The following is a 27,804-nucleotide window of genomic DNA, read 5'->3' as shown; positions in this document are numbered from 1 at the left end:
CCACCCTTCTTGGCCTCCCAAAGTGCTTGGATTACAGGCATGAGCCACCGCACCCAGCCAAGTTTCATGCTGTTTTATAACTTTTAAACAGTTATTATACTATTTTATGCCGATGAGTTTGACAGTTTGAATGAAATGGCCAAACTCCTTGAAATTCAGTTTACCAAAACTGACAGATAGGAAAAAACAAAAAACCAAAAAACAGAAGAGTCTAATCACTGTTAAAGAAAACAAACTTGTTATTAAAAATCTTCCCAGAAAGAAAACACAAGACCAAGTTGGCTTCACTGGTGAATTTTTCTGAATATTTAATAAAGATATAACACCAGAAAACAGAATCAGAGGAATTACTTCTCAATTCCTTTTCAGAGACCATTACAAGTTTCTCTTTGTTCCTTATTTTCTATGAAAACTTAGCAAGGATAGTAGAAAAAGTGAAATAACAGTATATAAACATAAACACAGAAATTCTAACCAACTCCTGTGAGATATAAATATTTAAAGTACATCAGGACTAAGTGTGGTTTATTCCAGGAATTCAAGAGTAGTTTAACATTCAGAACTTAATGAACATTATTTATAATGATTTACATAAAAGAAGAAGAATAATATGACCATCTTAATACATGTAGAAAATGCATTTGATAAAATGCAAAGTCCACTCATGATGTAAGAAAAAGAAACAGAAAACTCTTAGCAAACTAAAAATAGAAGAAAACTTCCATAATCTGATTTTTTTTAATAGCTATAAAAAACCTACAGCAAACATTTTACTTTATACTTTAAAGTCTTCCCCTTATTATGCGCTATCTCATCTAAGTCTTACAAATCCCCACTGGTCTTTCTCTTCTTGTATTTCCCAACTCCACTTACCCCAGGGTATAGGCAGAAGTCAAAAAACAAAAAATAACACTAATATTTTAGTAGCCTGACTGTCTATTTCTTAGCCCCAAATCAGGGACACAAAAGCATTTTTCCTGAATAAATACTTGAGCTGTGCATCCTTGAATGCCTCAATATGACTCAAGGGTAGATGAAGCTGGAACTGGCATTAGGGTAGGATGAACAGAACTCAAAATATCCCTGACCCCATCCTCACATTGCCTGTAACTCAGTCTCTGCAGGAGGTGAAGCAGAATTGGCAGCCGTGTCATTAGTTGGGGCTGAGTCCTCAGACAGGGCCCTCTCCAGACTGGTGGGCAGGGAGTGGATCAGTCTCTCTCGGAAGTCTTGGCCCACAAAGACGTAAAGCATGGGGTTGAGGCAGCTGTTGAAGAAGGCCAGGGAGCTCGTTGGGTTAACCAGGATGTCAATGATTTTGTACTTGCCATAGAACAACATCTCTTTGAGCCAGACGGTGCCCAGAAGGGCAACCAGTTGAAAGGGAAACCAACAGATGAAGAAAGAAGCCACCACAGCAGTGAGGACCCGTAAGGGACGGCTGGATTTAATCATGCCCTTTTTGTGGATCTTGGCTGCAATGAGCCCATAGCAGATGGCAACAATGGACATCGGCAAGCTAAAGCCAATGACAAACCGGATAATCCCTCTGGCTGTCAGCATGGTAATGGCCACCTTCAGCCTCTCCTCAGGGGTGCCACCCCAGGATGCAAAGTTGAAAGTACAGTATGTGTCCCCATTTGGAATAGTTACTGTAGTCAAAAAGAGGAAAACTGGCAAGGTAAGGACTAGAGCAAGAATCCAAGGTCCGACGATCACCTTCATGGCCAGACTCACAGTGCGGTGGTTCTGGGCCCAGACTGGATGCAGGACACAAATGCAGCGGTCCAGTGCAATGAAACCAATCAAGAAGACACTTCCAAAGAGGTTGATGTCCACCACGATGTGAATTAACTTACACAGGAACCAGCCAAAAGGCCATTTTTCTCCCATGGCCATGGAGACAATGAGGAATGGTAATGTGGCCGTGAAAGAAAAGTCAGCCAGGGCCAGGTTCAGGTAACAGATGGTGGTGACTGTGCGTGTCATCCGGAATCCAGCCACCCAGATCACAAGCCCATTGCCCAGGACCCCGAGGACAAAGGTGACCCCAAGCACCACCAATGGGAGGATCCGCAGAACAGTGTAGCCAGCAGACTCATAGGACACTTCTTCATATTCATTCAGAGGAGTGGAGAAGTTGGTTTCCATCTTGCCAGCAGCACCTGAAACATTCCAACAATGGCCATTTCTCAGCTGTGGAACCATCTTACAGCATCTGTATTTATAGCTCACATCAACTTCCACTAAAGCTCCCACTCCTACCAGGAGACCCACTCTATCTACCAAGCCTTGTTGACAACGGTGCTATAGAATTGGCATTCTCTTGGATGCTCCTTTGGGAAGGGATAGTCCTCCATATTCCCATCATTATCAATATGCATTTCGCTTATCGGGCTGATCACTTCACCAAGAGGATTACAAGGCTCATACTGAACTTATGTTGTATGGACAATGGAAAATTGAGCATAGGCAGCCTCAGCATTGTGAGGAAGGCACATGACTCAGAATCAGAAGGCTCACATCTGTGTCTCCCACCATTCAATGCAAACATGCTGGCAAGCTCTGCAATCTCTTTCAGCCCCAGGTTCTTCCAGTCTCCCAACTCCTGTCCCTCAAACTGTGAGAACCCTTGACCTATTGCTTGGCTAGTACTCAAGATAAAGTTTGAGGGTTTGGCTTGAGGTTATTGTTGAAGAGAATTTTGAGGAGTCACTGGTAACATGTAGTAGTATGTTATATCCTGAGGATTCTGCACTAGAGGAAGTCAGCAAAGAGAGTTCCATCTCTGCTTTCTACCCTCTGCTTTTCCCTGTCCCTGCTTGATGTGGAGCTCTTCTCTGTTTGGAATGCAAATAATCAGTGCCGATTTGTATAGCTTTGGTGTCTGTGGGATAAAGACTATAAGAATAATAAGTTGTATTAATACTTGTGAAGTTCTTATTAGAGACTATGCATTGTGTTAATTACTACATATGGGATCCGGTTTGGCCTATGTAATAGCTATGTAATATTCATTACTTCTAGTTTTCATTAGAATAAATGAAAGCTCAGGGCAATTGTGAAATGTGTTGAAGGTCACTTAGGTAGTAGATAATAGATTCAGGACTTCAGTTTGGCATGGTCTGACTTCTAAACCCTTACGCTTGACAGATATTGCTGGTTGCCCACCCAGCAACGGTTCCCCATTCTTCTCTGCTTGAAAAACCACAATTGTGTTTAGTTACTCACCCTGCAGAGAAGGTGTCTTTTCTCCATGTTGGGAGTAAATCCTGACTAGTCTAATTAGCACTAACCAGAATCCCTTTTACTTTGCAAGGGATTGCTTTGGTAGTGGACACGTGACTAAATTGTGGACAATAACATTGTAAGAATATGACCCTTCAGAGCTTCTCAGATCAAGTTTTTTTGTTTTTGTTTTTTTCTTTTAAGAACAAAAACCCAAAACATGTAGTCCCTGCCTCTGGTCCGGATCACATCTGTAATATTTGTATCCAGTTCAACACAAAGTCCCACGTCACCTGAGCACATTTTCTTATGCCGTGGTCTGTGGACTTTATCAGAAACATCCAGGCTGCCTGTTAAAATTGTATTCATTATCCTTAGCAAACTAATGCAGGAACAGAAAACCAAATACCACATGTTCTCATTTACAAATGGGAGGTAAATGATGAGAACACATGGACACAAAGAGGGGAACACTGGGGCCTACCGGAAGGTGGAGGGTGAGGGGAGGGACAGGATCAGGAAAAATAAGTAGTGGGTATTAGGCTTAATATCTCAGTGATGAAATAATCTGTACAAGAAAACACCAGGATACAAGTTTACCTGTATAACAAACCTGCACATATACCCCTGAACTTATAATAAAAATGAAAAACAATTATATCCATAAATCTCATTCTAGAATCTGTATGTGTAAAAGCCAGGATGATTTGCTATGGCCATGAGAATTTGAGAATCATCTCAGACTGGGCTATTCAGCATCTTTAAGAGAAATAGCAATTCCATAGCACTTGTTCACATCTAATGCTCATAATAACATTGGGAAACAGCCATCACATCTGGGGGAATTCATGGCCCGGGGACTTCTGTAGTTTTTTTCAACATCATGCCCAGCCAGTCAGTGGAGGCAGCAAGATACGGAAACCGAGATGAACAACTCCAGAGCCACTGCCTTTGCATACGGAAGTCCTGCCTTTGAAAGGGATTCCCCCAAGATTACTAGGATAGGGCTATGCCTCAGTCTGGTGATTTTTAGCCTTCTTCCTTTTCCTTATTTCCTCCTTTTCTTCCTGCTATTACCAGTGAGTTTCACTGAGGTATTCCATGGGACGTTATTTAATGTAGCTCAGGGTTTCTCAACCTTGGCACCTTTGACATCTGGGTCTGGGTAATTCTTCGTTGTGGCAGACTGTTCTGGACACAGTAGGATGTTGAGCAGCCCCCCTGGCCTCTATCCACAGACACCAGTAGCAACTCCTTCTCCAGAAATGACAATCAACAGGTTCCATAAACATTGTCAAAGGTCCCCTCGGAGGCAAAGTCACCCCCAATTGAGAGTCACTGTTACAAAGAATACTGGGCTCAGCCAGATACGGTGGCTCACGCCTGTAATCCCAACACTTTGGGAGGCCAAGGGGGGTGGATTGCCTGAGGTCAGGAGTTCCAGACCACCCTGGGCAATACGGTGAAGCCCCGTCTCTACCGAAAATACAAAAAATTAGCCGGGCCTGGTGGCATGCACTTGCAGTCCCAGCTACTCGGGAGGCTGAGGCAGGAGAATCGCTTGAACCCGGGAGGCGGAGGTTGCAGTGAGCCGTGCCACTGCACTCCAGCCTGGGGGACAGAGCGAGACTCTGTCTAAAATATATATATATACTGGGCTCTGAAGTCAGCTACATCTCTCTTCTAATCTCATCTGTGATGTCTCCTCACTATGAGTTTTTAGTCAGTGATATCTCTTTGAGCCTCAGTTTTCTGCTCTGCAGAACGAGGACAATTTTATGGTGAAGTCTAACTTTCAGGTGAGGATTAAGTGAGAATAGATGTGGAAATCTTTTAGGCTAGACTGAGTATATCTATGACAAATGGGAACTCTTGGCCCTCACCAGGCTGTGTGCTGTGTCGTGGGGCTCAATCCATTATGAAGTTCAAGGTCAGGACAAGAACGATGCTCATAGCAATAGTTGTTTCTACTTATGAACATTACCCACACACCAAGAGCTTTTCCTTTAACCCTATCAACGCCTCTCACAGGATCTGTGGATGGGCTGTGTTAATATGTGTGAACACTGAGCACTCCTGAGACACAGTGAATATTGATTAATCTTAGTGATATTAGGTTGGTGCAAAAGTAACGCTGTTTTTGCCATTGAAAATAATATCAAAAACCACAAGTACTTTTGCAGCAGCCTGATAATTAGTATAACCATTGTACAGATGAGGAAGTTAAGACTTAGATGGGCTGCGTTAATTGTTCAACGTTACCAGGTAGAAAGAGTAGAGACAGAATTGGAGCTCAGCCAGATTGATTACAACAGAATTGTGCTGTTAACCCTTTTCCACCCCATAGTTCCTCAACAGACTCAGATTTTCTCTATCCACACTCCAAACATTCTACAAGACACTTAGAAGACATGATCTATCCATAATTTCAAATTCATTTTAAAATGTTGATACAGGCTGGGCGCAGTGGCTCACGCCTGTAATCCTAGCACTTTGGGAGGCCAAGACAGGTGGATCACTTGAGGCCAGGAATTTGAAACCAGCCTGGCCAACATGGTGAAACCCTGTCTCTACTAAAAATACAAAAATTAGCTGGGCATGGTGGTGGGTGCCTGTAATCCCAGTTACTTGGGAGGCTGAGGCAGGAGAATCACTTGAGTCTGGGAGGCAGAGGTTGCAGTGAGCCAAGATCGTGCCACAGCACTCCAGCCTGGGTGAAAGAGCGAGACTCTGTCTCAGAAAAAAAAAAATGTTGATGCAACAAGGAAGGATGATTGTGCAATGACAGGTGAGGACAAATTAACAAGGCAAAAATTGCAAAGTTTTGGGTCCACCCTAGTTGTAATGTAAGGAGGAGAACTGCGAACCACAGATGATACCTGTACTGATTATGAGGTCTGCTATTTGGTGAGTCCTTAATATGTGCCAGTCACTATATATTTTATCATCTCTGATTACAATACCCTTGCTTTGGGACAAGTGCTGTCCTTGTGTAACAGGTAGGAAAGTACGGCTCAGAGAGCGGAAGTGACTTTCACAATTATCGAGGGTTGCAATTGAATTTATGACCACAGATTTCAAATGAAAACTCAGCAGTTCCTCATTAGGTTACTCTACTTCTCCAGCGCACTCGCTATCCCACACCTTAATTATTTCAGTCCTGCTTTCTCCAAAAAGTACCTCATTTACTCTGTTTTTCCCACTCTCAGCAGATGCCCTTGACTGACATTATAATGAGAAAATGGTAATAACTAGATGTGAAATTTTCAGCCGGTCCTCCCCTGACCCTCAGTCTACCTGCCTCTGTCACTGTGAATAAAGACTTCTTGTTCTTTCCAATAATTTCCCTCCCTGCATTGGCCCAGGATGCCCTCTCATCTTCCCACAAACTTTCCCCCTGCATTTGTCCTTCCATTTTCTGCCAAAAACAAACCCTCAAGATTTTATTTCTACTAGATCATTCTCACTATTACATAAACATTACATAAATCATATCCCCTCCCTTTAAAAAGAAACCATCCTTGGCCAGGTGCCGTGGCTCACACCTGTAATCCCAACATTTAGGGAAGCTGAGGCAAGTGGATCACTTGAGGCCAGGAGTTTGAGACCAGACTGGCCAACATGGTGAAACCTCATCTCTACTAAAAATACAAAAATTAGCTGGACGTGATGGCACGCGCTTGCAATCCCAGCTACTTGGGAAGCTGAGGCAGGAAGACCTCTTGAACACCGGAAGGCGGAGGTTGCAGTGAGCTGAGATCGCACCACTGCACTCCAGCCTGGGCAACAGTGACTCCGTCTCAAAAACAAACAAACAAACAACAACAAAACTAAACAAAAACAAAATAAAAACCACCCCAAAAAACAAAACAAAAAACAACCAAAAAGATCTTGGACTATATTCCTTTCTGGTGTTAACCCTATTTCTCCTGAGAGAATTCTTTCTATGAAAAGAATTTGCAGCCAGATTTTGGAAGGAGTTTTCTGTGTTTGCTCCCTTTGATTCCCTGCCTCACTTTTTCTCCTGAATCCAGTCTGTATTGACTCCAGTCCTTAGCACTGACCTGGTGCATTTTCCTGAGGATGCTTATGACCTCAAGGCTGCAAATGCAGTGGGTGCAAATCCATATTGGTTCTTATCTCAATATCTTCGTGATAGAGGATCCATTGGATCTCTTCTTCCCATTGGATCGCTTCCTTCTCCTTAAATCACGTTTTTCCTGTGCCATGAGATGATAAATGTACACACAACACACTTTCACTTGCATTTGAAGCTCAATTGGCCACCGCTTTTCAGTCCCCTTTGCTAGTATTTTCTGCTCTAAATTTGACTCTAAATTTAGGAGTGTCCCGCAGCTTTTACTTGTTCCCCACCTCTCTTATCTCTATATAGTCTTTCTATAGGTGATATTATCCAGTCTCAGGGCTTAAAATATCATGCTCTCTTTTCATCTAAACTATCAGCCTTGGCCTCTCTCTGGTGCTCCAGTCTGATATAACCTCTCCCCACGGGAGTCCCGTAGACATTTCAAACCTAACGTGGCTCAACCAAACAGTTGATTGTCTCATCCTCCCAAACCTGCCACTCTTCCAATATTTTGTGTCTATTTGAGTTTAAACATTCAGTTGTTAAAACTTCCAAACTAGAACTTATCTTTCATTTCACTTTCTCTCACCACAATCCCATCCAAGTCCTATTAATTCTATCTACAGAATCTGCTGAATGCACAGCCAGAGCCATCTCTATCTCTACAACCTGTGTCCATGGTCCTGTCAGGCAGGAATGTTTGCGCCAACTTTGCAAATAGGTTGTTCCTGGTCCTACTTTCCCCTGCCCTACAATCCAATCTCCAGAAGGAAACCAAATGAGCTTTTAAAAAGTTCAATAAGGGCCAGGTGCAGTGGCTCACACCTGTAATCCCAGCACTTTGGGAGGCCGAGGCAGGTGGGTCACCAGAGGTCAGGAGTTCGAGACCAACCTGGCCAACATGAAGAAACCCCATCTCTACTAAAAATACAAAATTAGCTGGGCGTGGTGGCACGTGCCTGTAATTCCAGATGCTCGGGAGGCTGACGCAGGAGAATCGCTTGAACCAGGGAGGCGGAGGTTGCAGTGAGCTGAGATCGTGCCATTGCACTCCAGCCTGGGCAACAAGAGCAAAACTCTGTCTCAAAAAAAAAAAAAAAGTCCAATAAGGGCCGGGAGTGGCTCATGCCTGTAATCCCAGCACTTTGGGAGGCTGAGGTGGGTGGATCACCTGAGGTCAGGAGTTCAAGACCAACCTGCCCAACATGATGAAACCCCGTCTCTACTAAAAAAACACAAAAATTAGCTGGGCGTGATGGCGGGTGCCTGTAATCCCAGCTACTTGGGAGGCTGAGGCAGGAGAATCGCTTGACCCTGAGAGGCAGAGTTTGCAGTGAGCCGAGACTGCGCCACTGCACTTCAGCCTGGGCGACAGAGCAAGATTCTGTCTCAAAAAAAAAAAAAAAAAAGGTCCAATAAAATGGTGATGCTATTTTCAACACCTTCTAATGGCTTCCAAACTTCTAACTTATCCTTATCTTAAGTTCCCTCAAGTACCCCTGGACCTGCCCTGTGCATTCCTCAGACCTCATCTCTGCACTCTCGTGGGACACACTGGGCTCCACCCATAACGGGCTCTGATTCCTTGAACATGCAGCTCATTGTCATCTCGGGGCTTCTGCCTTCTCTGTTCCTTCTGCCTACCATGCTCTTCCTCTTAAGCTCCTCACACTTGGCTCCTTCACATGTTTATTTATCTTTGAGTTAGAGTTTCACTCTTCTTGCCCAGGCTGGAGTGCAATGGCACGATATCGGCTCACTGCAACCTCGGCCTCCTAGGTTCAAGCGATTCTCCTGCCTCAGCCTCCTGAGTAGCTGGGATTACAGGCTCCCACCACTACGCCTGGCTAGTTTGTTGTTTGCATTTTTAGTAGAGACAGGGTAATGCAAGCCCTAAATGCCAGCCACACACGTGACTTACAACTTTCTAGTAGCCATGTTAAAAAAGTAAAATCATTGGGAGAAATTAATTATAATAATATGTTTCATTTAACCCCGCAAATAAAAAAAATCATTGGAACACGTTACCAAAATGAAAGTTATTAACGAGATAAATTGTATTATTTTGATCATACTAATGATTAAACTACACTAAGTATATTTTACACTTAAGCACATTTCAGATCAAGATAGAAACATAGGCACTCAAAAGCCACCTGTGGCAAGTGGATGCTCCATTACAGCACTGCTCTAGAATTTAGGAGGTGTTTGTCAGAGAGCAGGAGTTCCATTGATAAATTTTAAATTGTCAGTCCCCAACTTACCAGCAGCTAAGCTCCTTTTCCTGTGTGCTTCTTGGCTTCCTGTGGAGCAACACCGGCTCTAAGGGCTTTCGCGGAGACTACTGAATGATGGGGGAGGGACAATGGAGCTGGAGCCAATCCCCTAACAGAAACTCAGGATTTCTTATAATTTTCAGAAGACACCTTGGGTATGTTGTCAGCGGACTCTTCTTAGAAACCAATGTGTCTGAATGTTCCTTCACCTCTAGCCTTCTGTGAGAGACTGGAGTTCATGCTTCCAAATGTCAAGGGTCAAGGAATCTGAATGTCCAGCCCTTCCTTCTTCAGAGTTTCATGAAAATGAAAGAAACAATTACTGAAGTGGGAAGAGTTTCAGCCACGCAATCAAGCCCAAATATGATGATTAAGTCAAACTCAATTCTCGACTTATGCAGTACTTCTGGCATCAAATGTGTGGGTCTTTTCCATATCAAGCAATTCTCCAGTTCTCTGGGGACACCACTGGGTATCTCACAATTCAATTCAGCTCCGACGCTGTCTACCTGGAGTTAGTGTCAGATCCCACAAGTTAAAGGGCTCACTCTCCCAAAACTGTCCTCACTTCAGACACCAATCCAAGTCCCAGGTGGCCACCTGTACTTCTGACTGACTGGCTATAAATCGGGGGTGGGGGGATGTTTATAACCCCTTCCTCTGTTCTGATAATTTGTTAGAATGGCTCACAGAACTTAAGAAGGCACATTACTGGCTGGGCGCTGTGGCTCACACCTGTAATCCTAGCACTTTGGGAGGCCGAGGTGGGTGGATCACTTGAGGTCAGGAGTTGAAAACCATCCTAGCCAACATCATGAAACCCCACCTCTACTAAAAATACAAAAAAAATTAGCTGGGCGTGGTGGTGGGCACCTGTAATCCCAACTACTTGGTAGGCTGAGGCGGCAGAATCGCTTGAACCTGGGAGGCGGAGGTTACAGTGAGCCGAGATTGTGCCACTAAACTCCAGCCTGGGCAACAGAGCGAGACTCCATCTAAAAAAAAAAAGAAAAGAAAAGAAAAGAAGAAGGCACATTACCTACATTTACTCGTTTGTTCTCAATGGAGTTCACATATCGAGAAATAAAAGGTGGTAGGTATTGTATAGGTGCAGGTCTCTAAAGAGGTGCTTCCTTGCTGGCTGCTGGAGACATAGAGATCAATCAGACATGGGCTCTGCGGACCACCTGAATAGAGAGGTGAGAATGCAGTGCTTAGTTACAATAGGGTGGGGGCACGTAGTGATAGACAGATGCCTGGCTCCTTGTGAGGTCCTCTAAAAGGAACCACTAACTCAGATTCACGGATCTAGAGTCAATATCCGGAGGAGGGAACATGTAGGCTGAGTCTTAAAGACTCAGATAAAGGAGAAAAAATAATGCATTCTTGTCAGAGGGGAGTAAAAATACCCACGAAAGGGGTCACAAAAAAGCAGGTTACTTTTGTTTACCAGAGCATAGATGATAAGGCAGACAGCAATAAGCATTAAGTATGTAGAGGGCGGCAGAGGCAATTTCTTGGTTGGTCTTGAATGCTGTAAAAAGAACTTAGAATTTCTTCTTAAAATTTCTTTCTTATATATATATATATTTTTATTATTATACTTTAAGTTTTAGGGTACATGTGCACAATGTGCAGGTTAGTTACATATGTATACATGTGCCATGCTGGTGTGCTGCACCCATTAACTCGTCATTTAGCATTAGGTATATCTCCCAATGCTATCCCTCCCCCCTCCCCCCACCCCACAACAGTCCCCAGAGTGTGATGTTCCCCTTCCTGTGTCCATGTTTCCTCATTGTTCAATTCCCATCTATGAGTGAGAACATGCGGTGTTTGGTTTTTTGTCCTTGTGATAGTTTACTGAGAATGATGATTTCCAATTTCATCCATGTCCCTACAAAGGACATGAACTCATCATTTTTTATGGCTGCATAGTATTCCATGGTGTATATGTGCCACATTTTCTTAATCCAGTCTATCATTGTTGGACATTTGGGTTGGTTCCAAGTCTTTGCTATTGTGAATAGTGCTGCAATAAACATACGTGTGCATGTGTCTTTACAGCAGCATGATTTATAGTCCTTTGGGTATATACCCAGTAATGGGATGGCTGGGTCAAATGGTATTTCTAGTTCTAGATCCCTGAGGAATCACCACACTGACTTCCACAATGGTTGAACTAGTTTACAGTCCCACCAACAGTGTAAAAGTGTTCCTATTTCTCCCCTTTCCAGCACCTGTTTTTTCCTGACTTTTTAATGATTGCCATTCTAACTGGTGTGAGATGGTATCTCATTGTGGTTTTGATTTGCATTTCTCTGATGGCCAGTGATGATGAGCATTTTTTCATGTGTCTTTTGGCTGCATAAATGTCTTCTTTTGAGAAGTGTCTGTTCATATCCTTTGCCCACTTTTTGATAGAGTTTTTTGTTTTTTTCTTGTAAATTTGTTTGAGTTCATTGTAGATTCTGGATATTAGCCGTTTGTCAGATGAGTAGGTTGTGAAAACTTTTTCCCATTTTGTAGGTTGCCTGTTCACTCTGATGGTAGTTTCTTTTGCTGTGCAGAAGCTCTTTAGTTTAATTAGATCCCATTTGTCAATTTTGGCTTTTGTTGCCATTGCTTTTGGTGTTTTAGACATGAAGTCCTTGCCCATGCCTATGTCCTGAATGGTAATGCCTAGGTTTTCTTCTAGGGTTTTTATGGTTTTAGGTCTAACATTTAAGTCTTTAATCCATCTTGAATTAATTTTTGTATAAGGTGTAAGGAAGGGATCCAGTTTCAGCTTTCTACATATGGCTAGCCAGTTTTCCCAGCACCATTTATTAAATAGGGAATCCTTTCCCCATTGCTTGTTTTTCTCAGGTTTGTCAAAGATCAGATAGTTGTAGATATGCGGCGTTATTTCTGAGGGCTCTGTTCTGTTCCATTGATCTATATCTCTGTTTTGGTACCAGTACCATGCTGTTTTGGTTACTGTAGCCTTGTAGTATAGTTTGAAGTCAGGTAGCGTGATGCCTCCAGCTTTGTTCTTTTGGCTTAGGATTGACTTGGCAATGCGGGCTCTTTTTTGGTTCCATATGAACTTTAAAGTAGTTTTTTCCAATTCTGTGAAGAAAGTCATTGGTAGCTTGATGGGGATGGCAGTGAATCTGTAAATTACCTTGGGCAGTATGGCCATTTTCACGATATTGATTCTTCCTACCCATGAGCATGGAATGTTCTTCCATTTGTTTGTGTCCTCTTTTATTTCATTGAGCAGTGGTTTGTAGTTCTCCTTGAAGAGGTCCTTCACGTCCCTTGTAAGTTGGATTCCTAAGTATTTTATTCTCTTTGAAGCAATTGTGAATGAGAGTTCACTCATGATTTGGCTCTCTGTTTGTCTGTTATTGGTGTATAAGAATGCTTGTGATTTTTGTACATTGATTTTGTATCCTGAGACTTTGCTGAAGTTGCTTATCAGCTTAAGGAGATTTTGGGCTGAGACAATGGGGTTTTCTAGATATACCATCATGTCATCTGCAGACAGGGACAATTTGACTTCCTCTTTTCCTAATTGAATACCCTTTATTTCCTTCTCCTGCCTAATTGCCCTGGCCAGAACTTCTAACACTATGTTGAATAGGAGTGGTGAGAGAGGACATCCCTGTCTTGTGCCAGTTTTCAAAGGGAATGCTTCTAGTTTTTGCCCATTCAGTATGATATTGGCTGTGGGTTTGTCATAGATAGCTCTTATTATTTTGAGATACGTCCCATCAATACCCAATTTATTGAGAGTTTTTAGCATGAAGGGTTGTTGAATTTTGTCAAAGGCCTTTTCTGCATCTATTGAGATAATCATGTGGTTTTTGTCTTTGGTTCTGTTTATATGCTGGATTACATTTATTGATTTGCGTATATTGAACCAGCCTTGCATCCCAGGGATGAAGCCCACTTGGTCGTGGTGGATAAGCTTTTTGATGTGCTGCTGGATTTGGTTTGTCAGTATTTTATTGAGGATTTTTGCAGCAATGTTCATCAAGGATATTGGTCTAAAAAAAAATTTCTTTCTTACAATTTCTTCTGCTTAAAAGCTATTTAAGCAGGAGAGTGACTTGTCAGGTGTGTGCTTCCAGAAAACATTGCTCTAGAGTCCCCCTGCAAAGGGATGGCTCTGAGAATGCTCCCAGTTGGAGGCAGAGATCTTAAAGGGTAAGAAGTTGCCAGAGATCAAGGTGAACTTGTCGAATAATTGCCTGTGCTGGAGTAGTGTGCTAGAGAGGAGGTGTAGTTTAGGGAGAGATTTCCAGGCTTGGTAGACTGAGCTTGGAGACCAAATGGCTCTGGAGAATGAGGAAGCATGAAGGGTCTTTATGAAGCCCACATTCATAATTCATAATTGCTGTATAACCACCCAAATCATAGCATGTAAAACAACCATTTCATTACGTTCATGGATTATGTGGGTTGGGAATTAGGATAAGGCACAGAGATGCTTGTCTCTGCCACCCAAAACTCAAAGGTCTGGGGGGTGACTAGAAGACTGTGAATTGGAGTCATCTAGAGCTCCTTCATTCACATGTCAGATGCCTGGGTTGGAATGACTCAAATGCTGAACTAGGCTGGTATTGCACCAAGTGCCTACAGGCAGCCTTTCCAGCATGGTGGTCTCAGAGGAATCAAAGTCCCAGGACAATGGCTGCCTTCCTCCAGAACACGTGTCCCAGGAGAACCAGAAGATGCTTCCTAGCCTTTTTTGACCTAGCCTTGAAAGCTACGTGGAAGTCATTTCTACCACGTTCTTTGGTCAAAGTAGTCCCAACCCTACCCAGGTTCCAGGGGAGAGGCGATACAATATGCCTGCCTTCCTGTCAGTGGAAGGAGTGTCCAAGAATATTGTGGCCATTTTCTTCAGAACTGTTGCACCAAGGTAACTGCGTGGATTTGGGGGCTGTCATTGAGACGAGAGTCAATGAAAAGAAGCAGAGTGTTTAGTTTGTTAGAGCTGCCATAACAAAATACCATTGGCTGGGTGGCTACAACAATAGAAATATATTTTCTCACAGTTTTATCAGCTGGAAGTTTAAGATCAAGGTGTCAGCAGGGTTGATTCCTCCTGAGTCCTCTCTCCTTGGCTTGCAGATACCGCCTCCTCCTCATGTTTTCACACAGTTTTCCCTCTATGCCTGTCTGTGTCTGGATCTCCTCTTTTCATAAGGATATCAGTCATATTGAGTTGGGGCCCACCCTAATGACCTCAGTTTCAGCTAATTACCTCTTTAAAGGTTGTATCCCCAAATACAGTCACATTCTGACATGCTGGGGTGTATTGGTCAATTCTCATGCTGCTAATAATGACATACCCAAGACTGGGTAATTTATAAAGGGAAGAGGTTTAATGGACTCACAGTTCCATGTGGCTGGGGAGGCCTCGCAATCATTGCGGAAGGCGAAGGAAGAACAAAGGGACATCTTACATGGCAGCAGGCAAAAGAGAATGAGAACCAAGTGAAAGGGGAAACCCCTCATAAAATCGTCAGATCTCGTGAGACATATTCACTACCATGAGAACATTATGGGGGAAATCGTCCCCATGAAACAACTATCTCCCACCTGGTTCCTCCCACAACACGTGGGAATTATGGGAGCTACAATTCAAGATGAGATCAGGGTTGGGACACAGCCAAACCATATCATGGGGTGAGGGCTTCAACCTAAGAATTTGAAGGGGAATGTGACACAATTTAGTCCTTAACAGAGTTGTGGGAGAAGGTGAGGAGAGCAAAGGCTGCAGATGAGTTTGAAAGGAAACAGGAACCCAAAATGATGTGTCTGAACATCAAGGGCAGGTCTGAGCTAGAGACAGGGGTCTGGTGAATGTTAGCTGAGGTGTGGTTCAAGTTTTAAGCATGGATGGGTTCACCGCAGAGAACGTGAAACAGCAGATAGAGAGGTTTATGTAATTACTAAGATATTGATAATACTTATTGCACTGGAATTCATGCCAAGTGCTTTGTATCACTGATCTTATTTGTTCTGCTCCAGAAAACACCTCTGTAAGTATCATTGCTCTCAATTCACAGGTGAAGTGTCTGGGACCCAGTGCAGTTAAATCAGGGGTCAAATCTAGCCACCGCTTGTTTTTGTATGGCCTGAGAGCCAAGAATGGCTTTAATATTTCTTACCGGCTAAAGAAAATCAAATGAAGGGTATTTTGTGCCATGCAAAACTTATATGAAGTCCAATTGTCGTGTTTTAAATAAAGTTTTATTGACATACAGTCATGCTCCTCATTTACAACTTTGCTTGTGGCTGTTTTCAGGCTACAACAGCAGAGCCAAGGAGTTGTGATGGAGACCCTATGGCCTGCCAAATGAAATATATTGACCATCTGGCTCTTCATAGGAAATGTTTGTGGCCCAGTGCAGTGGTTCCGTCCTGTAATCCCAGCACTTTGGGAGGCCAAGGCAAGTGATTGTTTGAGGTCAGGAGTTCAAGACCAGCCTGGTCAACGTGGCAAAACCATATCTCTACTTAAAAAATACAAAAATTAGCCAGGCGTGGTGGCGGGCACCTGTAATCCCAGCTACTGGAGAGGCTGAGGCAGGGGAATCACTTGAACCTAGGAGGCAAAACTGCAGTGAGCCAAGATCACACCACCGTACTCCAGCCTGGGTGACACAGTGAGACTCTGTCTCAAAAAAAAAAAGTTGGGGGAAATGTTTGAGACCCCTGGATTAGCTGGCTTGTCCGGAGCTAGTGAACAGTAGTCCTGGGATTCTAGTCCAGGCAATCTGGCTTTACCACCTCAGTCCAGTGCTTTACTGGGAGGCTGTGCTGCTCGCCGAGGCCATTTCTCATGTTTCAGTTACCAGAAGAGTCAGGGACTTTTGCAGCATAGGCAGGAATACTCCCATTCCGGTCAACCCTAAGACATCTTCCCTTTTAGCCTTACGCAAACACAGAAGTGGAAGTCCATTTTAAGACTTTCGCTTTTTTCTTCACCATAGTCACTTTGGAACACACACTTGGCTCTATTTTTGCCCAACCTAGTGTGCTAATCACAGGCCATTTGGTAGCCAGGAAGAAAACCTACTTATGTTTTAGAAAAGAGGGCTCATGGGAAACAGGTAGGGGTGTCCCAGGACCCCCGTTTTAGGAAGAACAGTCAGACTTCAAAAGACCTACAAATTTTTCTGGCAATTACTCTCTGTGGAGTCCCTTGTCTCTTGTTTTCTCTTGACATTTGGGCCCTTCTCCTCTGTGCATAATGATGTCCTCTGCCATTCCCTTTATTTTAATCCCCTTACAAAGTGTTGGCTTCCATGTGACTCCTAGGCACGTCTTCATTTGTTACCCTTCATACCTTGGGAATCTTCTAAAATGCATCTGTTGTTATGATCCCAAGAAAATGTTTATAAAATACAAACACAAATGTTTATAAAGTACAAATGAACATATCACCCTTCTGATTAAAGATCTTCAGTGATTCTCCATCTCATCCCCATCCTCCTGGTGTGGGATGCTGGAGTGTAGCAGTCCCCAACATTTTTGGCACCAGGGACCAGTTTCATAAAAAACAATTTCTCCATGGGGTGGCGGGGTAGATGGTTTCAGGATGATTTAAGCACATTGCATTTATTGTAGACTTTATTTCTATTATTATTATTACATTGTAATACACAATGAAATAATTATACAACTCACAATGATGTAGAATCCGTGGGAGCCCTGAGCTTGCTTTCCCGCAACTAGACAGTCCCATCTGGGAGTGATGGGAGACAGTGACAGATCATCAGGCATTAGATTCTCATAAGGAGCACACAACCCAGATCCCTGGCATGCACAGTTCACAGTAGGGTTCACACTGTTATGAGAATCTAATGCCGCCACTAATCTGACAGGAGGCAGAGCTCAGGCAGTAATGCCAGCAATGGGGAGTGGCTATAAATACAGATGAAGCTTCTCTTGCTCACCTGCCAGTCACCTGCTGTGCAGCCCACTTCCTAACAGGCCACAGACCGGTATCGGTCTGTGTATTGGTCTATGGCCTGGAGGTTGGGGACCCCTGCTGTAATGTGAAGTCAGGAGCTGTGGTAGCTTTCTTGGAGCCATGAAGTGGCAATCCCCAGGAAAAAAAGTCACCATATTAGGGATAAAAAAGAGAAAAGATTAAAATGAATGTAGTTCTTGATGATATTTTCCAGATATAACCTAACCTAGTATTACCCTCTTGCAAAATTCTTGTAAAGTAAACCATAAATTTCGTCTTGGTTCTAAGCTAAGCTTGTCCAGCCCATGGCCTAAGATGGCTTTGAATGCAGCCCAACACAAATTCATAAACTTTCTTAAAACATTATCAGATTTTTGGGGGATTTTTTTTTTTTTTTTTTTTTTTAGCTCATCAGGTATCGTTAGTGTTAGTGTATTTTATGTGTGGCCCAAGACAATTCTTCTTCTTCCAGTGTGGCCCAGGGAAGGCAAAAGATTGGACACCCCTTGTTGAAGCCATTGTTAGGTGTAATTGTAAATTATAAATTACTTAGAATTAAAAACAGCCCGGCTCATGCCTGTAATCCCAGCATTTGGGGAGGCTGAGGCAGGAGGATCACTAAACCCAGGGGTCTGAGACATGCCTGGGCAACGTAGCAGGATACTGTCTCTAAAAGAAAAGAAAAAACAGTCTTAATGCAACAATGCCTTGGTAATAATGCTTTTAGAATCAGTGTCGTTATCTCTGATTCTGTAACTGTCTTACCATATTTCTCCATATCACTCTGATACCCTTGGAAGGATGCTTAACATTTCAGAAAAACGGTTATTTCTTTGGGCTAGAAGACTACAAATGAGCTTCCACAAGATCAGAGGATTATGGGGTTAATCTTGGTGGTGTGCATGGGTGTGGACGCGCTGTCCTGCCAACTGTCTCAACTTCCCCCACTCCCTTACCTCTCTCTGTGTTTCTGGTCTCCATCCCTCATGACTTCTTCTCTTCCTTTCATTGCCTCCCTCTGATTCTTCTCACCACAGTGCTTGCTGCTTTCTTTACCTTGACCCTTGGAGGGAGCAGGGGCCCGGACACTTGGATTTCTTGGCCCTTGTTGTTGAGAGCACTGAACCTCTGCATCCCACAGAGACTGAGGCTGAGAAATACAGTCAGGTACATGAGTTTCTAAACAGGCCCAGCCCACTGTCCTAATGCCATTAAAGCAGACAGTATATTGGTGTATTCTTGGGGCCATCAAAAATCAGAAGAAGCTCAGACTTCCTATTTCCTGCTACCCAGCTGGTTTTAGTTCCTTTACCCCTCCTCCTGTTCCTTGGTGTATGTTTTGCTGCAATCATTAGAGCCTGAGTCACTCTCCCCAGGAGACCCAGACCTAGAACTACCCAGAGCAAGACCACAGCTGGTGAACAGTCCAGGTAAGAAACATATTCTGGGGGACTGGGTAGCTTGACATAGACACACTTAATACACTGGTGAACACAATAGACTCTTTGTTTGAAGAAGGATGTGGAGTTGAAGAATAATTTTTTTAAAGAGGTTCTAAACAGGCCGGGCACGGTGACTCATGCTTGTAATCCCAGCACTTTGGGAGGCCAAGGCAGGTGGATAACTTGAGGTCAGGAGTTCGAGACCAGCCTGGCCAACATGTTGAAACCTCACTTCTATTAAAAATACAAAAATTAGCCAGGCGTGGTGGTGGGCGTCTGTAATTCAAGCTACTTGGGAGGCTGAGGCAGGAGAATTGCTTGAATCTGGGAGGTGGAGGTTGCAGTGAGCTCAGATTGCACCACTGTACTCCAGCCTAGGTGACAGAGTGAGACTCCATCTCAAATAAATAAGTAAATAAATAAATAAACAAATAGGCTCTAGACTTTATTGGGGTCCTGATGGGAATGATGGAATATAGAGACACTATGAGGCTGCAGGAGAGAGAAGGGATAAGTGAAGGAGGGAAGTTCTTGAGTAAATGGGGGAATGAGTTTTATGGGACCAGTAGAGGGTAATTCTTGGATGGAAACACTTGTTTTCTGGTTACAGAGATGAGGGCAGAGAACAGTGATGCAGGAGCCAGCAGGAGGAGAATCTGGTGGAGCAAGAGGCAAGGGCATCAGCTTGAGGGCTTGAGTCGGGATGGGAAAGGATGTTTGGTTTGAAGCTTTCAGGAGAAAGCAAAAGAGCCCTAACGACTTTATGATGGGTCATGGGGAAATGAGTGTAATACAGAAGCAGTCACCTTTCGGATCAGTGATGAGTCTCCACGTGAAGACACTGGTTCTGCATGGTGCATAGGACCCAGTAGCGGAATACAGCCCTGCCCTCTCATGAATCTGCAGACATTGGCTGTCATTTCTCATCAAGCTCCTAGTTTCCTCTTCCGTCACACAGGGATGATGATGTATAATCAATGCTGAGTTTGTTGAGATCAGAGGCAAGAAAGTTGAGGATGTGGTACAATGATTATCAAGCATAAAGTCCTTCATCGATGGCAGCCACCAAGGCCTGTGTTCATTGCAAATCACAGGATTTTTCCCTTGAACCATAATTGGACAAAATTGCACAGGTTTTCCTCTCTGGTATGTTCCAGCTCATTATTGCAGAATCCTCATCATTCATTGCAACAATCTTCTGAACTGGTTGCCTTAGAGATTCTTGAGGACAAAGAGTCCTCAGGGTATTTTGGTGGTTGGATGGGTGGTAGGGGAGGGAGACATCTCTGAGTTGTTTCTGAGATTGTAGAGTATCAAAGTTCATTAGAAATGTGAGACACATATGTAATTTCAAAGTGTCAAGTAGGCACTTTAAAAAGGTGAAGAGAAACATGCGAACTTAATTTTAATAAAATATCTAACCTAAACTTAAATAGCCAAATTATTATCATTTTAACATGTAGTCAATATAAAAACTATTAATGAGATGGTCACAATATTTTTTTCATACTAAGTCTTTGAAATCTGATGGGTATTTTACTCCTACAGCCTGTCTCCAGTTGGACTAGCCACAATTCAAGTGCTTGAAAACCACATGTGGTGAGTGACTAGTGCATTAGACAGCTCTTCTGTGCCAGTAGCGTGGCAGGGCAGAGGCAGAAAGAGACTTTTGCTGGAATTCGACAGCCTGGGCTGTTGGGTGACTTTAAGGAATTAACTGAAATGCTCTAAGTCGCACTTTCCTCGTCTGCAAAATGGGTACCATAAAGACAGTGACCCTCATAGTAACAATTTTGAGGAAGGCTGCTGCAAGCATTAGAAGAGAAGACCAGGCCGGGCGCAGTGGCTCACACCTGTAATCCTAGCACTTTGGGAGGCTGAGGCAGGTGGACTGCCTGAGCTCAAGAGTTTGAGACCAGCCTGGGCAACATGGTGAAACCCCATGTCTACTAAAATACAATTAAAAAGAAAAATTAGCCAGGCACGGCGGCGTGCACCTGAAATCCCAGCTACTCAGGAGGCTGAGACAGGAGAATTGCTTGAACCTGGGAGGCGGAGGTTGCAGTGAGCTCAGATCACGCCACTGCACTCCAGCCTGGGTGATAGAGAGAGACTCCATCTCAAAATAAATAAATAAATAAAATAAAATAAATTAAAAAAAAGAGAGAAGGCCAGCTCTCAGCAAGAACCTGACATGCACTTTGCATACCTGATCTAATGAAATGTCATATCCAATACATATTTGGACTATTATTTCTATCACGGTCTTCTACATCCCCAAGAGTGCTGAGCCCATCCAATGGATGGAGAAGCACCTCCCATCCATCTGGCCAAGGTAACCGCAGAGACGAGAGTGGAAACAGAGTCTGTTGTTCTGACTTCTTCTAGCACAGAATCCATTGGATATAATACTTGATTATACGTCGTTTAGTATCACTCACGGATCCATTTGACCTATGTTGGAAAACTAACCAAGTACTATGCCTTGCTTCCCACGATGAGAGAGGAAAGGGAGATTTCATGACCTTAAAGAGAGAGAGCGAGCAGAATTTGGAGTGGAGAAGTTGCATATCTTTTTTTTTTTTTTGAAACGGAGTCTCGCTCTGTCGCCCAGGCTGGAGTGCAATGGCGCAGTCTCTGCTCACTGCAACCTCCGCCTCCCACGTTCAAGTGATTCTCCTGCCTCAGCCTCTGGAGTAGCTGGGACTAAAAGCACCCACCGCCATGCCTGGCTAATTTTTGTATTTTTAGTAGAGATGGGGCTTCTCCATGTTGGCCAGGCTGGTCTCGAACTGCTAACCTCATGATCCACCCGCCTCGGCCTCCCAAGGTACTGGGATTACAGGCGTGAGCCACTGCGCCTGGCTGAGAAGTTGCATACCTTATAGTTCTTATGCAGTGTTATGGGTGAGAGAAAGTCTTAGTCCACGTTTGTGTGACACTAGGTCACTGAAGCTGTCGCCCACTGATTTTCTGATATCTTATGCTCTTATTTTTCCTTTATTAAATTGATGGTAAAATACAAAAAGTTAACCATTTTAGGCTGGGCACAGTGGCTCACGCCTATAATCTCAGCACTTTGGGACGCCGAGGCGGGCAGATCACCTGAGGTCAAGGAGTTTGAGACCAGGCTGGCCAACATGGTGAAACCCCATCTCTACAAAAATATAAAAATTAGCTGGGCATGGTGGCAAGTGCCTGTAATTCCAGCTACTCAGGAGGCTGAGGCAGGAGAATCACTTAAACGCGGGAGGCGGAGGTTGCAGTGAGCCAAGATCGCACCACTGCACTCCAGCCTGGGTGACAGAACGAGACTGCGTCTCAAACAACAATAAAAAAGTTACCCATTTAAATGTACAATTCAATGGCATTAAGTACATCTACAGTGTGTTGCAACCATAACCATTATCTAGTTCCAGAACTTTTTAATCACACCAAGCAAAAACTGCATATTCATTAAGCAACAATTCCCCACTTCCTAGTTTCCCCAGTCCCTGGCAATCACTAATCTGCATTCGGTCTCTGTGAGTTTGGCTACTCTGGATATTTCATACAAGTGGAATCATACAAAATGTGACTTGTGGTGTCTTCCTTCCTTCTCTCCTTCCTTCCTCCTTCTTTCCTTCCTTTCTTTTTTCTTTCATTTTAGAGACAGGGTCTTGCTTTGTTGCCCAGGCTGGAGTGCAGTGGCTCAATCATAGTACACTATTAACCTTGAATTCCTGGGCTCAAGTGAGCCTCCCATCTCACCCTTCTGAGTAGCTAGGACTACAGGTGTGTGCCACCACATCCAGCTAATTTAATTTAATTTTGTTGTTGTTGTTGTTAGAGATGAGGATCTTGCTATGTGGCTCAGGCTGATCATGAACTCCTGAGCTCAAGCAACCCTCCTACCTCGGCTTCCCAAAGCTCTGAGATGACAGGCGTGAACCACCACATCCAGCCCTCTTTTGTTTAGAGTAATGTTTTCAAGGTTCAGCCACGTTGTAGCATATATCAGTGCTTCATTGTTTTTTATGGCAGAATAATATTCCATTGGGTGGATAAACCACATTTTGTTTATCCATTCATCTGTTGATGGACATCTGGGTTGTTTCTACCTTTTGGCTATAGGGAGGAGTGTCTCTATGAACATTTTTGTTTGAATACATGTTTTCTCTATACATCTTTGGCCCCATATTCTCCTCTTGGAGGTCAAGGACCCTATCTTCCTTAGCCATTTAATCTCCCTGGTAGGGGCTTGCATGTTAGCAATTATGAGGATGTGTCATAAGATGCAATCTTGGCCACACGTGGTAGCTCACGTCTGTAATCCCAGCACTTTGGGAGGCTGAGGTGGGTGGATCACCTGGGGTCAGCAGTTCAAGACCAGCCTGGCCAACATGGCAAAACCCCACCTCTACTAAATATACGAAAATTAGCCAGGAGTGGGGTGGTGCATACCTGTAGTCTCAGCTACTCAGGACGCTGAGGCAGGGGAATTGCTTGAACCCGGGAGGTGGAGGTTGCAGTGAGAGATCACGCCACTGCACTCCAGCCTGGGTGACAGAGCAATATTCCATCTCAAAAAAAAAAAAAAAGATGTAATCTTGCCCAACAGGTACAATAAAAGATTGCCAATGTATAGATGTGGGCATGTGTAAGGGACAGTGGTGAGGATGTTCCGGCTGTTGTGGGAGCTCTAGGGGAAGGTGAGAAAGCTAGGAGTGGGAAAACTGGCAGGGGCAGAAATGAGGGGGTGGGGAAATGGTACGGAGGTTCATAACTGAGGAATGACCACGACTGCACTATTTCAGGAGCAGACAAGATGGAGACAAATTCCTCTCTCCCCACGAACATCTCTGGAGGGACACCTGCTGTATCTGCTGGCTATCTCTTCCTGGATATCATCACTTATCTGGTATTTGCAGTCACCTTTGTCCTCGGGGTCCTGGGCAACGGGCTTGTGATCTGGGTGGCTGGATTCCGGATGACACACACAGTCACCACCATCAGTTACCTGAACCTGGCCGTGGCTGACTTCTGTTTCACCTCCACTTTGCCATTCTTCATGGTCAGGAAGGCCATGGGAGGACATTGGCCTTTCGGCTGGTTCCTGTGCAAATTCGTCTTTACCATAGTGGACATCAACTTGTTCGGAAGTGTCTTCCTGATCGCCCTCATTGCTCTGGACCGCTGTGTTTGCGTCCTGCATCCAGTCTGGACCCAGAACCACCGCACCGTGAGCCTGGCCAAGAAGGTGATCATTGGGCCCTGGGTGATGGCTCTGCTCCTCACATTGCCAGTTATCATTCGTGTGACTACAGTACCTGGTAAAACGGGGACAGTAGCCTGCACTTTTAACTTTTCGCCCTGGACCAACGACCCTAAAGAGAGGATAAATGTGGCCGTTGCCATGTTGACGGTGAGAGGCATCATCCGGTTCATCATTGGCTTCAGCGCACCCATGTCCATCGTTGCTGTCAGTTATGGGCTTATTGCCACCAAGATCCACAAGCAAGGCTTGATTAAGTCCAGTCGTCCCTTACGGGTCCTCTCCTTTGTCGCAGCAGCCTTTTTTCTCTGCTGGTCCCCATATCAGGTGGTGGCCCTTATAGCCACAGTCAGAATCCGTGAGTTATTGCAAGGCATGTACAAAGAAATTGGTATTGCAGTGGATGTGACAAGTGCCCTGGCCTTCTTCAACAGCTGCCTCAACCCCATGCTCTATGTCTTCATGGGCCAGGACTTCCGGGAGAGGCTGATCCACGCCCTTCCCGCCAGTCTGGAGAGGGCCCTGACCGAGGACTCAACCCAAACCAGTGACACAGCTACCAATTCTACTTTACCTTCTGCAGAGGTGGAGTTACAGGCAAAGTGAGGAGGGAGCTGGGGGACACTTTCGAGCTCCCAGCTCCAGCTTCGTCTCACCTTGAGTTAGGCTGAGCCACAGGCATTTCCTGCTTATTTTAGGATTACCCACTCATCAGAAAAAAAAAAAAAAGCCTTTGTGTCCCCTGATTTGGGGAGAATAAACAGATATGAGTTTATTATTGACTTCTTTTTTGATTTTGGACCTCAGCCTTGGGTGGTCAGGGTGGGAAATGATAGGAAGAAGCTGTCATCTGCATCCTAGTTTGCCTGAAATGAACCCAAATAATACCCATTATTATTAGTCCTGAATTATGAGTAGTGAATGATACCCATCATTCTGGCATCATGATGAGTAGTGTCCACTTCCATTCTGAAAAGTGCCCTGCTGTGAAAAATAAATTATATAGTCATCCTAGGTAAATGAAGGAGGAGGGAGAAGTGTGAAAGAGTATGGCTTAAATCAGACAAGATATACAAGAAGATACTTTATATAGGGCAGGAGCGGTGGCTCATGCCTGTAATCCCAGCACTTTGGGAGGCCGAGGCAGGCGGATCACCAGGGGTCAGGAATTCGAGAACAGCCTGGCCAACATGGTGAAACCCTGTCTCTACTAAAAATACAAAAATTAGCTGGGCGTAGTGGCAGGCTCCCGTAATCCCAGCTACTCAGGAGACCGAGGCAGGAGAATCGCTTGAACCTGGAAGGCGGAGGTTGTAGTGAGCCAAGAAAACGCCACTACACTCCAGCCTGGGTGACAGAGAGAGACTCCGGCTCAGAAAAAAAAAAAAAGAAGATACTTTATATAAAGTCCTCAGCCTTTATCGGTCAACAACTCAGTAAAAATATAAAGTTATCGAGATGTCAGCTGAAGACCCCTCATTTCCTTGAGATCTACCTGATGCCTAATCTTTTATATAATAAATTTTGGGAAACAGATTATCCTCTCCACAAGGGAGGGCCCCCAGGGCCCGTGTTTTTACCTGTGGCTCTAAGTCTTGCTTCAACTGAGTTAGTCCAGTTCACACAATGTCTGGTGGTTGCTGCCCTGATGAAATTAACCCAGAGAGGAACTCAGACATTTCCTTCAATTTACTGAAAAGCTACCTGCACAAGGTATTTAAATATGAAACACACTTTACAGAAAGAAGCTTGGAAATGTTAGAGTATGCAACTGGCCAGCAACGGACAAACATGAAAGCTTCCAGTTGAACTTAAGACATCCTTTTAAAAGTCCACCCTCCCTCTTATCTCCTCACCTCCAGATTCCTGCTTTTTTTTTTTTTTTTTTTTTTTTTTTTACAACGCAGAGAAATTTAGCCATCCTACCCTTGACTCTGACTCTTTATCCCTCAGGTCTCCTTTCCTAACTCAAGTCATTTATCAATAACAGTATCCTCCTTAAGAAGATTTCTGGTGCCAGCTCTTTTTTTTTTTTTTTTTTTTGAGACAGAGTCTTACTCTGTCGCCCAGTCTGGAGTGCAGTGGTGCGATCTCAGCTCACTGCAACCTCTGCCTCCCGGGTTCAAGCGATTCTCCTGCCTCAGCCTCCAGGTTAGCTGGGACTACAGGCGCCCGCCACTGCGCCCGGCTAAATTTTTTTGTATTTTTAGTAGAGGTGGGGTTTTGCCATATTGGCCAGGCTGGTTTTGAACTCCTGATCTTGTGATCCACCCGCCTCAGCCTTCCAAAGTGCTGGGATTACAGGTGTGAGCCACCACACCCCATCAAGAAGATTTCTGTTGTCGGCTCTTGAATAATCATTTAATTACCATTACAGACATCATCATTTTATTGTATTTTATTTTATTTATTTATTTATTTTTGAGACAGAGTTTCACTCTTGTTGCCCAGGCTAGAGTGCAATGGCACAATCTCGGCTCACTGCAACCTCCACTTACTGGGTTCAAGCGATTCTCCTGCCTCAGCCTCCAGAGTAGCTGGGATTACAGGCATGCATCACACCTGGCTCACTTTGTATTTTTTAGTAGAGATGGAGTTTCTCCATGTTGGTCAGGCTGGTCTCGAACTCCTTACCTCAGGAGATCTGCCCGCCTCAGCCTCCCAGAGTGCTGGGATTACAGGAGTGAGCCACTGCGCCTGGCCATCATTTTATTATAAACAAGAAACAGAAGAGAAATGGAGAGAGAATGAATAGAAAGAAGAGAGATGAAGGAGAAGCTTGGAGCATCCAGAATTAACTTACAGCAGAACCTGTCTTTGGGTGAGGGGCTGGGTGATGAGGGCTAATTTCATCTCAGTGCAAGGGGAGATTCCTGAGTTTTGATGACATGATGTGGTCCTTGGGAATCTAGCTCTTCTCTAGACTCCCATGATGATTTTTTCTGTACACCCCCCACGAAGCTCTGCAAGCCTTACTCATCAGCATCCAATGCATTTATTTAACCTATGCCACTGACCCCAGAGCTTCTGGAGGGCATCGTGTCATCCTTGCCTTTTCCCTGCATACAAAAGGCTTCAATGAATGATGGTTTAACTAAACCTTTTGCTTCTGTACCTCTTTTATAATTACGCAGGATACTTGTAAATCCTGGAACCCCTTTGGTCACCAACTCCATTAAGTCAGAGAGTTCTTCCTATGCTGACACATGGAGAAATTGAGGCCCAGAAGGAGAGTGTAGTAAAATAGGACCCTGCTACAAAGTTAGAGGGCAGACCCTTCATACAAGACCACCCTCGCTTCTGCCAATTTGCAGAATCTCCAGAACACCCTCCGGCTGGATCATTTGCTAGAAAGAGTCACAGAGAGAGAACTGAGCAGAGGATTTGAACAGAGAAGAAGTGAGAGATGATGAAGCCCCAGATTGCAAGGGGTAGGGAGAAGCTACCAGATAATGTTCCAGTTCCTCTAAGGTCTAGACGCACTGTCTGCAGTTGGCTTCCTTTAAATTCCCTTGTGTTCTTCCAGCAGGTTTAACTTAAGC

At 44.2% G+C, this 27,804-nt stretch overlaps 2 protein-coding genes across 5 annotated transcripts; one reads left to right on the top strand and one right to left on the bottom strand.

The window, feature by feature from the left end:
- Nucleotides 1–278: 278 nt before the first annotated feature.
- FPR2 (formyl peptide receptor 2) lies at nt 279–9,630 on the bottom strand. Of its 3 annotated transcripts, XM_006723120.4 has the most exons (3): nt 9,580–9,630; nt 7,293–7,448; nt 279–2,165 (listed from the first exon to the last, which is right to left on the bottom strand). In XM_006723120.4, exon 3 carries the CDS (start codon nt 2,149–2,151, stop codon nt 1,096–1,098), a length of 1,056 nt encoding a protein of 351 aa, XP_006723183.1. In that variant the 5' UTR covers nt 2,152–2,165; nt 7,293–7,448; nt 9,580–9,630; the 3' UTR covers nt 279–1,095. The 3 variants fall into 3 exon arrangements, with proteins under 3 accessions (XP_006723183.1, NP_001005738.1, NP_001453.1); NM_001005738.2 differs by lacking the exon at nt 7,293–7,448; NM_001462.3 differs by lacking the exon at nt 9,580–9,630 and having other exon boundaries at nt 284–2,165; nt 7,293–7,421.
- On the top strand, nt 18,932–25,638 carry FPR1 (formyl peptide receptor 1). 2 transcript variants are annotated; one of them, NM_001193306.2, is made up of 3 exons: nt 18,932–18,996; nt 20,557–20,607; nt 23,805–25,638. In NM_001193306.2, exon 3 carries the CDS (start codon nt 23,816–23,818, stop codon nt 24,866–24,868), a length of 1,053 nt encoding a protein of 350 aa, NP_001180235.1. In that variant the 5' UTR covers nt 18,932–18,996; nt 20,557–20,607; nt 23,805–23,815; the 3' UTR covers nt 24,869–25,638. The 2 variants fall into 2 exon arrangements, with proteins under 2 accessions (NP_001180235.1, NP_002020.1); NM_002029.4 differs by lacking the exon at nt 20,557–20,607 and having other exon boundaries at nt 23,805–25,037.

Source organism: Homo sapiens, chromosome 19 (genome assembly GCF_000001405.40).
Source record: "Homo sapiens chromosome 19, GRCh38.p14 Primary Assembly".
Classification (NCBI taxonomy): Eukaryota; Metazoa; Chordata; class Mammalia; order Primates; family Hominidae; genus Homo; species Homo sapiens.
Note: the sequence above shows the minus strand (reverse complement) of the source record. Positions and strands in the feature narration are given on the sequence as shown.

Coding starts and splice junctions, on each gene's coding strand:
- FPR2 (XM_006723120.4), bottom strand. CDS start 2,151: ATGGAAACCAACTTCTCCACTCCTCTGAATGAATATGAAGAAGTGTCC.
- FPR1 (NM_001193306.2), top strand. CDS start 23,816: ATGGAGACAAATTCCTCTCTCCCCACGAACATCTCTGGAGGGACACCT.